The following is a 13875-nucleotide window of genomic DNA, read 5'->3' as shown; positions in this document are numbered from 1 at the left end:
AAAAAAACACTCTAATTTCTACTGTTAATGGATTCAGATTGGCAAGAAGAACCCATTCTTTTCTCTAGACTTTTCAATGCACTTCAAGTGTGAAGCATTGGGTAAATGCTGGATTTGGGTACTGGACACCAGGTAGTGAAGAGTTTCCCAGGCAGTTCTGAGTTTTCTTGTAAAGGCACTTTCATCCATAGGACTTGAATCTTTTATCTCCTGGCCTGGTGCGGCGGCTCACGCCTGTAATCCCAGTACTTTGGGGGCTGAACTGGGAGGATCACTGGAGACCAGGAGTTTTGAGACCAGCCAGGGCAACATAGCAAGACCTCGTCTCTGCAAAACCAGAACCAGAAAGTATACACTCCTACGCTCCTTGAAGGCAGGGCCTCAGTCTGTATTGCTCAATCATGCGTCATCAGTGACTAGAGTGTTTCTGGCCCATAACAGGGGCTTATTTGTTGAATGAGTGAATGAATGATTCCACGAAAGAATGGGCAGACTGAATTCAAAGGCACATGGGTTTGACTCTGTTTTTCTCAACTTGCTGTGAGGCCCTGGGCAGATTACTGAAGCCACCTGGCCTCAGTGTGCTCCTCCATGGAGTAGAGACGATAATGTCTACATCAGAGTTGTAGAATTAAATGCCCTGCGTATGCAGATACTTAACACCAAATAAAGGGTAGCTTTCCAGATACATTATTAAAGTAATAAAATGTCTAAGCCAAGAAATATGTAAACACATGAACAAGTTAGATTTATATAGAAATGACACCAAACACTGTGGTAAAATATGCATTTTACTTATGACCTACACCGTCAATACTAGATACCCTGCTTGGCGTTATTCTTATTTTTCTCACCAGGACCAAATAAAAATCACTTCACTCTTCCGAATGTGTCTCTCCAGTCAGAGACGTTGCGCATGAGCTGATTGCAGGAGGCTTTGGGGCAGATGGGCGGGGCAGGTTATTCAGGACTCACCTCCTGCAGGAAAGGCTGAGACCTGCAACCCAGGGCAGGGAGGAATATAAACCTGCCCCAGTTACAGGACCCAGCGGCTCCTCCCACCACGGATGCTGGCCCATGAGTGTGCGTTACACTTCATTTGGGATTGCAAACTGGAGTTGTTTGAAGGCTGGCAGTTGCCTTCGGGAGTTAGCAGCCTGCGTGTCCAGAGAAACAAAAGTAAAACAAGAAACAAAACCAGAGTGAGCCACAGTGCCCAGGAGACCCTGAGGGATGGTGGGGACTGCGCAGTGGAGCCCTCAGGAACACTCAGGGGGAGGAGTTCTCACCTTTCCTGCCTGTCCTACAGCACCGAAGGCTGTGGCCAAGCTGCTGAGGCTTCGGGAAAAAGCCTGGGTCCTAATTCTTGGGTGAATGCTTCTACTTCTAAATGTTAGTCACTAATAATTCAGTCATGTGTTTGTGTAGCTCATTAATCCTTAAGCATCATGAGAGCGAAGCTGCAATAGAAAGCACAGATGGGGGCCGGGAGCAGTGGCTCATGCCTGTAATCCCAGCAGTTTGGGAGGCCGAGGTGGGCGGATCACAAGGTCTGGAGTTCGAGACCAGCCTGGCCAACATAGTGAAACGCCATCTCTATTTTAAAAAAAAAATTAGCTGAGCATGGTGGCAGGTGCCTGTAATCCCAGCTACTGGGGAGGCTGAGGCAGGAGAATCACTTGAACCCGGGAGTCAGAGGTTGCAGTGAGCCGAGATCACGCCATTGCACTGCAGCCTGGGTGACAGTGCGAGACTCCGTCTGAAAACAAAAACAAAAACAAAACAGAAAAAACACAGATGGGGTGGCCCTGGTCCTTCGGGAATGGCGAGCGTTCTGCTGCTCCTGGTGAGATCCGGCCCACCCCTGTGCTGGGGGAACAAGGGTCTTCTCTTGGGACTGGTCATGCCACCCAGCAGGTGTAACAGGAAAGCAGCCTGCAGTAGAACTTCAAAGGAGGCAAATGCTTCTAAAGTTCAAAGGCAAAGCATACATACTGAACAATCTGTTTTCTTCCAAATACTCCATGAGAAAAGTAAGCGGCAAGACATTCCCTGGCACAGAAAGGATTTCCCAAATCCCATGTAATGGCAAAGTAATTGCAAAGAAGATACAATCTGCACAGTGATGCAGTTGCTCAATGCTTTAAGAAAATAAAGCATCATTAATAATTATGTTTTCATTAAGGCTTGCATGATGTTAAATTATCTTGCAATAACTGTGTGTGTCTTTGTTTCCTCATACATTCAAATAAGAATTGGTTCTCTCTTCTTCCTCCTTTGTAAGCTCTTAGGCTAGATATTTTGGGAAGTTATTGCCTCATGTACGAGAGGCAGGAATACACAATTGTGCAGGAAATGTGGTAAAATTAAAAGTGTGTGTAAGGAAAGTAGGTATGCATTATGCTATCCACGTGGAATTCCGGAGTTTTATGTTCCCGATGTCTCCTCTGTAAGAAGACATAGCTGGAATGAGGCATGCAAAGAGAATTCTGTAGCAGCCAGACGTGAGCTCATTTTTTTATTGGTTTTCTGTCGGTAGCTTGGATTAGCCCAGCACCAAGCTGTGGGCTTGCCTAGAGTGAGGGACGCCAGTGAACAAGGAACAAGACTGGAGGAGGCAAGTTATCATCAGGAACAATTCAGGGAGTAAAAGCACAAACAGTGTGGGGGTCGGTCCAGCGACAGAGTCAGGAAAGGACAGTGGTGCAGGCCTACCTGTGGGTCCACAGTGTGGGGGTCGGTCCAGCGGCAGAGTCAGGAAAGGACGGTGCAGGCCTGCGTGTGGGTCTACAGTGTGGGGGTCGGTCCAGCGGCAGAGTCAGGAAAGGACGGTGCAGGCCTGCGTGTGGGTCTACAGTGTGGGGGGTCGGTCCAGCGGCAGAGTCAGGAAAGGACAGAGGTGCAGGCCTGCGTGTGGGTCTATGGTGTGGGGGTCGGTCCAGCGGCAGAGTCAGGAAAGGACAGAGGTGCAGGCCTGCGTGTGGGTCTCACACTTATACTCGTGCCTCGCAGAAGGCTCTCAGCCAAGAACGCCGAAGTTGTGATTCTAGTGGTGGCATTGATATTAGAATTGGACTATTTGGAGCTAGCACCTAAAACTACAAGGGTTTCAACTTATTCATCTATAAAATAGCGATTGCCAAATGAGTTGCCTTAGGTCAAATTTTGTGGTTGTTACCGAGCACCACAGCAGCGTGCTCTCTTGGTTTGCGCCCACCTACTCAAGGCCAGACACAGGGCTGGTTTCTTGGAAGTTCCCCTGTGCCTCTACCTCGAGGCTGAGGGGCTGGCTTTAGGGAGCCCCTAAAACATGTACTGTGTGTAGTGAGCTCTTCCAGGTTTTACCTGGCCTCAAATTATGTTCAGCCAGATATAGTAAGTCTCTTAAATCATTATGATTTTGTTTGATAATTTTGAGACCTTTATTAGCACTGTGTTTCTCTGAACATAATACTGACTAAGAAACAGAATGAGCAATTCACTAAATGTATAGCCCACAAGATGGGAAAGGTTTAATGCAAAATGATTCTTAAGCTATAAACAGTATTTTGAGAAAGTGTCTAATTATGTTTGAATTAATATAAGCAATAAATATATACATATCTCTATCCACCAAACCACCCACCTATCAATTTTTCATCCATCCATCCGTCTACCTCCCCATCCATCCAGCCAGCCATCCACCCATATATCTATCCACTTATCCACCTCTCTACCCATCCATCCATCCTTCTACCCACCCACCCACCCATCTATCCATCCATCCACCCATCCTCCCTCCCACCCACTCACCTACATATATATACACACACACATATATGTATATATATGCACATGTATATATGTATGCATATATATACATATATGTGTGTATATATATATATGCACACATATACATGTATATGTGTATATATATCTCTGCCCTCCCATTCACCCATCTACTCATCCATGTACCCACTCACCCAACCATCTCTCTACCCATCTATCACCTATCCCTCACCCATCCACCCACCCAACCATCTCTCTACCTATCCATCACCTATCCCTCACCCACCCATCTCTCTACCCAACCATCTATCACCTATCCCTCACCCACCCACCCACCCAACCAACCATCTCTCTACCCATCCATCTATCACCGATCCCTCACCCATCCACCCACCCACCCAACCATCTCTCTACCCATCCATCTATCACCTATCCCTCACTCACCCACCCACCCATCTCTCTACCCATCCATCACCTATCCCTCACCCATCCACTCACCCAACCATCTCTCTACCCATCCATCTATCACCTATCCTTCACCCACCCAACCATCTCTCTACCCATCCATCACCTATCTTTCACCCACCCACCCAACCATCTCTCTGCTCATCTATCTATCACCTGTCCCTCACCCATCCACCCACCCAACCAACCATCTCTCTACCCATCCATCACCTATCTCTCACCCACCCACCCACTCACCCAACCATCTCTCTACCCATCCATCTATCACCTATCCCTCACGCACCCATCTATTCATGTTATGGGCTTCACTCCAAATCCAGGTGTCAAATAGATAAAGCACAGGTCAGTCTGTCAAGCCAGCAGAGAGCATGCTAGTAAAATAAACAAACAAAAAACAGTCTACAGAAGTTTTGTTTTTTTCATTTCTAAATAACTTTCAAGAAAATTCACCAGTTGAAAAGAGAAGCATTTACTTTTATGTTGGTTGTAAAGCATCAACATTAAATGATTAACTTTAAAACTATATTTGTTGCCATATATGCCTTGGCTATCTTCTTTTTATCCACAAAAAGTCAAGGGAATCTAGTACCTGAGGCCTGTCTTTATTTAAACGGACTACAAACTTGTTAACTACTGCTTAGGCAGTGTCTATTCAGAAAACTGTAGTCAAATGTGTTACATTTATTGTAGCCCTTAAAGGTTGACTTGATACAAATAAGCCTGTGTTATGTATCGACTGTATAGTCGTTACTATACAGAAATAACAACCCCCAGACTAACCCAACCAAATAGAAGCCTCGGTTCTTATTTAAAACCATTTCCGAAACATGGAAGCTTTTGTCAGAGATTTGTTCATCTTCTTCATTCTCAACCGGACGGTTGGTCTAAGAACAGATGGAGCTCAGTGTTTTCTTTCCTGTGGTTAAAGTGTCATGCCCTGAAAACTAATATTCAGAAAATCACTTTGAGATATATGATTGCTAAGACAACAAATATTAGTACATCAGTATATTGATGTTCTAAAGGCAGATAATTATATGTATTTTTAAATTATTTCACTCATAAAAGTAGGGGAAAAAGAGATTTCCAAATAGTCCTCAGTTAAGAAAAGGCCTTTTACGCAGAACTCTTACACTCAACAGTCTGGTTGATGGAGGGCTGGTATGTTTGTCTCATAAGTCTTGAGTGATAGGAGTATCCTAGAACACAAGCAATAAAATCAGTGTTAAAATGCTAGATGTCACTTCTCTTCTTTGTTGGCATGTTTTATGACCATCAAAAGAAATGAGCAATTATCAATATATAGTAAACTATCAAGTGGAACCACTGAGTGATAAAGAACTCAGGAATAAATGGAATGATATTTAAAATAGAGGTAACTATAGCTAAAATTACAGTGATGAAATGATCTCTTATCTATGTACAACATATATGGTTTCCTTATTTTGGTTAAAGGTAGTTTTAAGTCAGTGAATTCTGTAGAATCTCAGTGATATATTTTTTCATGTTATTTCCAGCCCAATTGGGAGATGACTCCTAGCGGCAATAAATAGCTTTTGTTTCTCCTAATATATTCTTCATAGGACCCATGTGAACACATTGTTCGAGTATCACACCTCTGAGGGCTCTAGGCAGCAGGTGTGTGTGAAGACTCCCTCTTTCATCAGGGGAGGAAGGGTTTGTGTGAAGACTCCCTCTTTCATCAGTGGAAGAAGGATGTGTGTGAAGACTCCCTCTTTTGTCAGGGGAAGAAGGATGTGTGTGAAGACCCCCTCTTTCATCAGGGGAGGAAGGGTTTGTGTGAAGACTCCCTCTTTCGTCAGGGGAGGAAGGGTTTGTGTGAAGACTCCCTCTTTCGTCAGGGGAGGAAGGGTTTGTGTGAAGACTCCCTCTTTCGTCAGGGGAGGAAGGGTTTGTGTGAAGACTCCCTCTTTCGTCAGGGGAAGACAGGTTTGTGTGAAGACTCCCTCTTTCGTCAGGGGAGGAAGGGTTTGTGTGAAGACTCCCTCTTTCATCAGGGGAGGAAGGATGTGTGTGAAGACTCCCTCTTTCGTCAGGGGAAGAAGGATTTGTGTGAACATTCCCCTTTTCATCAGGGGAAGAAGGTTTGTGTGAAGACCCCCTCTTTTGTCAGGGGAGGAAGGATGTGTGTGAAGACCCCCTCTTTCATCAGGGGAAGAAGGTTTGTGTGAAGACTCCCCCTTTCATCAGGGGAAGAAGGTTTGTGTGAAGACTCCCTCTTTCATCAGGGGAAGAAGGTTTGTGTGAAGACTCCCTCTTTCATCAGGGGAAGAAGGTTTGTGTGAAGACTCCCTCTTTCATCAGGGGAAGAAGGTTTGTGTGAAGACTCCCCCTTTCCTCAGGGGAAGAAGGTTTGTGTGAAGACTCCCTCCTTCATCAGGGGAAGAAGGTTTGTGTGAAGACTCCCTCTTTCCTCAGGGGAGGAAGGTTTGTGTGAAGACTCCCCCTTTCCTCAGGGGAAGAAGGTTTGTGTGAAGACTCCCTCTTTCATCAGGGGAAGAAGGTTTGTGTGAAGACTCCTTCCTTCATCAGGGGAAGAAGGTTTGTGTGAAGACTCCCTCTTTCCTCAGGGGAGGAAGGTTTGTGTGAAGACTCCCTCTTTCCTCAGGGGAAGAAGGTTTGTGTGAAGACTCCCCCTTTCCTCAGGGGAAGAAGGATGTGTGTGAAGACTCCCTCTTTCGTCAGGGGAAGAAGGATGTGTGTGAAGACTCCCCCTTTCATCAGGGGAAGAAGGTTTGTGTGAAGACTCCCTCTTTCATCAGGGGAAGAAGGTTTGTGTGAAGACTCCCTCTTTCATCAGGGGAGGAAGGTTTGTGTGAAGACTCCCTCTTTCATCAGGGGAAGAAGGTTTGTGTGAAGACTCCCTCTTTCATCAGGGGAAGAAGGTTTATGTGAAGACTCCCTCTTTCCTCAGGGGAAGAAGGATGTGTGTGAAGACTCCCTCTTTCGTCAGGGGAAGAAGGATGTGTGTGAAGACTCCCCCTTTCATCAGGGGAAGAAGGTTTGTGTGAAGACTCCCTCTTTCATCAGGGGAAGAAGGTTTGTGTGAAGACTCCCTCCTTCATCAGGGGAAGAAGGTTTGTGTGAAGACTCCCTCTTTCATCAGGGGAGGAAGGTTTGTGTGAAGACTCCCTCTTTCATCAGGGGAAGAAGGTTTGTGTGAAGACTCCCTCTTTCATCAGGGGAAGAAGGTTTATGTGAAGACTCCCTCTTTCCTCAGGGGAAGAAGGATGTGTGTGAAGACTCCCTCTTTCGTCAGGGGAAGAAGGATGTGTGTGAAGACTCCCCCTTTCATCAGGGGAAGAAGGTTTGTGTGAAGACTCCCTCTTTCATCAGGGGAAGAAGGTTTGTGTGAAGACTCCCTCTTTCATCAGGGGAGGAAGGTTTGTGTGAAGACTCCCTCTTTCATCAGGGGAAGAAGGTTTGTGTGAAGACTCCCTCTTTCATCAGGGGAAGAAGGGTTTGTGTGAAGACTCCCTCTTTCATCAGGGGAGGAAGGTTTGTGTGAAGACTCCCTCTTTCATCAGGGGAAGAAGGTTTGTGTGAAGACTCCCTCTTTCATCAGGGGAAGAAGGTTTGTGTGAAGACTCCCTCCTTCATCAGGGGAAGAAGGTTTGTGTGAAGACTCCCTCTTTCCTCAGGGGAGGAAGGTTTGTGTGAAGACTCCCTCTTTCCTCAGGGGAAGAAGGTTTGTGTGAAGACTCCCCCTTTCCTCAGGGGAAGAAGGTTTGTGTGAAGACTCCCTCTTTCATCAGGGGAAGAAGGTTTGTGTGAAGACTCCCTCCTTCATCAGGGGAAGAAGGTTTGTGTGAAGACTCCCCCTTTCCTCAGGGGAAGAAGGTTTGTGTGAAGACTCCCTCTTTCATCAGGGGAAGAAGGTTTGTGTGAAGACTCCCTCTTTCATCAGGGGAAGAAGGATGTGTGTGAAGACTCCCTCTTTCATCAGGGGAAGAAGGTTTGTGTGAAGACTCCCTCCTTCATCAGGGGAAGAAGGTTTGTGTGAAGACTCCCTCTTTCATCAGGGGAGGAAGGGTTTGTGTGAAGACTCCCCCTTTCATCAGGGGAAGAAGGATGTGTGTGAAGACTCCCTCTTTCATCAAGGGAAGAAGGTTTGTGTGAAGACTCCCTCCTTCATCAGGGGAAGAAGGTTTGTGTGAAGACTCCCTCCTTCATCAGGGGAGGAAGGTTTGTGTGAAGACTCCCTCCTTCATCAGGGGAGGAAGGTTTGTGTGAAGACTCCCTCCTTCGTCAGGGGAGGAAGCGTTTGCATCTGAGTGGGCAGCATTCCTTTTTGGCATTTCTTCCACCCTAAATAGGAGTCACCTTTCACGGTAAGTGAATTTGACTGTCAAAAGGTGGATGGTTCTCCCAGGAACAGTGACTCAGAAACTCTTCCTGCTCTTGCATCAGACGCTTCTTACCATAGATGTGCCTGGCACGACCATCGGGACGACACTTTCAAGATCTACCCTGACGTGGCCATTTACAGATTCCTCATGAGATCTTCACTGCACGGTCCAGGGTCGGGAAAGAGACAGTCCCCTCCCTTGTATCAACCACGTCATTCCCGAAGGAAAGCAACCAGGCTCCCTGAGAAAGCAGTACAGCGTGCGGGGACTGTGTGAACCCACACAAGCCATAGTCAATTTAGAGAGTGGATTTTATGGAAGAATTTGGAGGAGGAGCAGACCCCTCCTGACTGAGCAGGGCACAGACTGACAGCTTTGGTTCAGAGGGAACCCTGTCGCATGTCAGCTATCCTGCCCGATCCTCCAATGCCCTGCAATGTTTGTCTTGTTCCCCCGATTTTGCAGGGTAAATAATGTAATGTGCAAAATCGCCCCGCGAGGAAGTGGCGGTTAAACAAACAATTGGATCTCAAGCCTTGTAAGCTCCAGTGCTCCCATCCTCTCTACAGTATAAAATTGAAAAATGTGAAGAAGATAATAAGGTTATTGATGTGTGTGAAAGCGCTTCAACACAGATGCTAGGCAGTCGATGATCCTGTTCATTCGCAGATTCTGTATTTGCAAATTAATTTGTAACCCCCAAATCAATGCTTATGCCAAAGTCATTCCTGCACACACACAGAGCCATAAAGTTCAGGTTGCCTGACATGCCTGTGCTCAGGTGGGAGAGGACAGCTCCGCCTTCTCGTTTCAGCTCATACTGTAAAACAAGGCTCCTCTTTATGGTCTATTGAGTGCCACATTTTCCACATTTTTTGTGCTTTTCGTTGGTGGTTTTGTTGTTTAAATGGCCCCAGCACAGTGCTGAGTGCTGACTGGTGTTCCTAGTGTTGTAACTGGCTCAAGTCCAGCTGTTTGCCACTCAGAGGCCGAAAACATGAGAGTGAGGTGTGGGCAGAGGAAAGCAGTTATTAATCAAACGCTGGCAGCTGGGGAATGGCCAGGCTCATGCCTTTAACAGACCATTCCCCCTTTGTGGCTGAGTGAGGGGTTTAAGGAGGAAAAGGCATGGAGCTGTGTGGAGTGGTGCAGGCGGACGCCAGGCTGTGTGTCTGTTCTGATGGTTATCTCATCGTGCAGAGGCCTGGTTTCTATCATTGTGGCTTCAGCCTGGGAGCGGTGGGCTACCTGTTCCTAACTCCCCCTCAGCAGAGGATTCTGCAGCTCAGTCTCTCTGCCTGTTCTGTTTGAAAATTGGCCCCTGGAATTTCTAAGCAGGTCTGTAATTAGATAGGTGAGCACTGTGTAAGGAGCGCCTGGTGGAGAAGGGAGCCACGAAGAATTTCACAGTATGCTTCAAAGCCAAAGCAGGAATGGGAAGGAAGTGCTCTGTGTGTGAGGCCGGGACACGTGGTTACAATGTGCCTGACGGAGAAAACACCCATGTGGATGGGCGTCGTGTGTGTGGATGGGCGTCGTGTATGTGGATGGGCGTCATGGGTGTGGATGGGCATGTGTGGATGGGCGTCGTGGGTGTGGATGGGCGTCGTAGGTGTGGATGGGCGTCGTGGGTGTGGATGGGCGTCATGGGTGTGGATGGGCATCGTGGGTGTGGATGGGCATGTGTGGATGGGCGTCGTGGGTGTGGATGGGCGTCATGGGTGTGGATGGGCATGTGTGGATGGGTGTCGTGGGTGTGGATGGGCGTCGTGGGTGTGGATGGGTATCTGTGTGGATGGGTGTCATGGGTGTGGATGGGCGTCGTGGGTGTGGATGGGTATCTGTGTGGATGGGCGTCGAGGGTGTGGATGGGCGTCGTGGGTGTGGATGGGTATCTGGATGGGCGTCGAGGGTGTGGATGGGCGTGGTGGGTGTGGATGGGCGTCATGGGTGTGGATGGGCATCTGTGTGGATGGGCGTCATGGGTGTGGATGGGCGTCGTGGGTGTGGATGGGTGTCGGAGTGTATGGGCATCCGTGTGGATGGGCGTCGTGGGTGTGGATGGGCGTCATGGGTGTGGATGGGCGTCGTGGGTGTGGATGGGCATGTGTGGATGGGCGTCGTGGGTGTGGATGGGCGTCATGGGTGTGGATGGGCATGTGTGAATGGGCGTCGTGGGTGTGGATGGGCGTCGTGGGTGTGGATGGGTATCTGTGTGGATGGGTGTCATGGGTGTGGATGGGTGTCGTGGGTGTGGATGGGTATCTGTGTGGATGGGCGTCAAGGGTGTGGATGGGCGTCGTGGGTGTGGATGGGTATCTGGATGGGCGTCGAGGGTGTGGATGGGTGTGGTGGGTGTGGATGGGCGTCATGGGTGTGGATGGGTGTGGTGGGTGTGGATGGGCATCTGTGTGGATGGGCGTCATGGGTGTGGATGGGTGTCGTGGGTGTGGATGGGCGTCGTGGGTGTGGATGGGTGTCGGAGTGTATGGGCATCCGTGTGGATGGGCGTCGTGGGTGTGGATGGGCGTCGTGGGTGTGGATGGGCGTCGAGGGTGTGGATGGGCGTGGTGGGTGTGGATGGGCATCGAGGATGTGGATGGGCATCATGGGTGTGGATGGGCATCAAGGATGTGGATGGGCATCGTGGGTGTGGATGGGCATTGTAGGAGTGTATGGGCATCCGTGTGGATGGGCATCGTGGGTGTGGATGAGTGTCGGAGTGTATGGGCATCTGTGTGGATGGGCATCGTGGGTGTGGATGAGTGTCGTGGGTGTGGATGGGCGTGGTGGGTGTGGATGGGCGTCGTGGGTGTGGATGGGCGTCGAGGATGTGGATGAGTGTCGTGGGTGTGGATGGGCGTCCTGGGTGTTTTCTCCCCGAGAGCTGTAATATTAGGTGCAGTACTTGCTCCTAAGAGACTCTGCAGGGCTCTAGGCATCTTTGTTTTACTTTTTATTTCCTGATTAGTACAGAAATTCCCCTTTTGATGCTGGCAATATGCACATGGGATTTATTCAATTTTCCCCAAATGTCTAAAGAGACAGAAAGCTGAACAAGATGGCAGAGACAACCAAGGCTCCCTGGTTAGAAAGAAGTTGGTGGGAAGGCTGACCTCACTCCCTACCCAGAAGCCTCTCACCTGGACCACACAGCACTCAGCCATCTGCCACCTGCACAGCAGACGTGGCGGGCGGGGTGGGGGGTGGTGGGTGGGGTTGGTAACAAATGCCAGGGCAAGTTCTTCTTGTGGGGAGGGATCTCTGCTGCTGATGGTGCTGGGGGCAGAGCCAGCAGCTCAGCTCTGGAGCCCCCAGTGTTGCCCCTGTTTACTGCAGACCCGCTGGGCCTGGCCACCAGAGTTTATTGAAAACCAGGGTCTCCTAGGCCAAAGCAAGTCCAAGAGGACCTGTGGGCCTTGCCACACTCGACAGCTGAGTAAACTGAGGCCCAGCGGAAGGGCCCAGGAGGGCCACAGAACAGTGACTCATGGAGTTAGACCTGTAGTGGGGCCTCGGGATAGAGACTTCTTCCCACGTCAGAGCCTGCACATATTCAAGTTAGGGAAGGTTATGCAGTTGGGGTCACGTTACCGACCCTCTGAGTCTCCTCCGGAGACAGCTCCTCATGCCCCGTCCTCCCACAGGGTTCCTGAGAGCACAAGGGCCAGAGCCAGGGCTCAGTGCACCGTGACCGCAGGCACCTGGGTCTCGCTGGGCCTGACGGCGATGGTCACTGGGTGCTCACCGCCTGCGAGATGTACCCCGAGGGTGTCAGGAGCACTCCCTGGTGATGACCACAGCCCCACGCAATGGTGACGCTCGGCATGCGTGCAAGAAAGGACACGGGCTGTGTGGGCCTCTCCTGCGGCCCCCACGTGAAATACGGGGCCATGTATGGGTCACATGCTTCTTCATAGCATAGGGGTCTGGGTCTTTGGACTCTGAGGAACCAAGAACCTCCTCACAGCCTTTAGAGAAAACTTTCAGCACGTGAGGGAAAAATTAGGTTTAGGATATTCCAGTCCCATCTGTCAGGGAATCTTCAGATGTGGTCGAGATTACAGTTTCACAGATGCCGTGTGTAAGCTTGAAGCCCTGTGGCTGAGCTCTCTGTCCTCAGCGTTGTTTCGGGGGTACATGAGTGCTGCTTGTGTTAATGAGGACTTTCTCTTAATTTTAGAAAACCATTCAACCAAAATGTTGAACCGGTCACAAATATGAATTGATCACCTCCTGCGTGGGTGAGGCCGTGGCAGAAATCATCATGCATGCTTCAAAGAGCCCATCCTGTGCTCGGGAAGAAGGAAAACATCTATAAAACGTCTGGTGTGCCATTTGAGCACTAAATATCAGGCACTCAGGGCCCTTCTGGAAGACTGTGGAGACAGGGAGAATCAGCCACTCTCACAGTGCTCACTCGGGAGTAGGGCTTTGAGAGGGGGTAGAACTCAGCACTCATGAGCGAGTGGAACATCGTTGGCAGGAGAGCTGCAGTCCAGGGAGGGAGTGGCCTCCTCCTTTCTGAGGGCCCATAGTGGGGACCAGCAGAGGGCCCAGCCGAGGCACCGTAGACAGGCCTGGGGCCTGGGCTCGAGAAGACACCAGCTCCTGCTCCATGGTCATCCCTGGAGGCGGCTTCCAAGGACATTTTGCATGCAGTAGAGCTGGACGCAGGAAGTCACTCAGCTCTGCTGTGACAGGGCACAGGCTTGGACTAGAAGATCACAGTGGGAACCAAGAGGCAGTGGTGGACATGGTGCATTTTCCAAGGGTTTCCGCAGAATTTGGTGACTAGCTGGATATTCCTGGCATAAGGAAGCCAAAGGGAATATCCGTAAGGTTAGAATGCTGTTTGCTCCTCAGAGCAGGCGCTGATTCAAGGGAGACCTTGTTGAGTTCAAAGTGATGCTAAGACGTCCACATGGAATATTCAGCCATGGTGTTAGGATGGTAATTGTGCTGCCTCGTAATGGCACGACAGTCCCCTTCACCAAGGGCTTGCACATGGAGGAGCTGGCCCTGGCTGGGAGAATGAGCAAAAATCCCAAGGAGGAAGACCAGAGGTTGGGACTGAGGTATCATGAGCAGAGATGTCTGAATCAAAAATACATGTGAGGTTGAAAGGATTTTGGGTGCAAAATCCACAGCCTGGGTGTCATATGCTGCCTTGGGATGAGCCTGTGGTGGAGGGTGTGTGGCTGCAGTGGGGACAGCAAGGGACCCTGGGCTACATGGTACCCAGTTTCACAGCTTAGATGTCAGTGCAGGC

At 49.5% G+C, this 13875-nt stretch overlaps 1 protein-coding gene across 13 annotated transcripts in view; it reads left to right on the top strand.

Moving 5' to 3' along the window:
• PTPRN2 (protein tyrosine phosphatase receptor type N2) overlaps positions 1-13875 on the top strand; it is a 1048768-nt gene that overhangs the window by 491734 nt on the left and 543159 nt on the right. The window lies entirely within an intron of this gene.

The sequence above is a fragment of the Homo sapiens genome, chromosome 7, assembly GCF_000001405.40.
Source record: "Homo sapiens chromosome 7, GRCh38.p14 Primary Assembly".
Classification (NCBI taxonomy): Eukaryota; Metazoa; Chordata; class Mammalia; order Primates; family Hominidae; genus Homo; species Homo sapiens.
The sequence above is the reverse complement of the archived record's forward strand: the minus strand, read 5'-3'. Positions and strand labels throughout refer to the sequence as shown.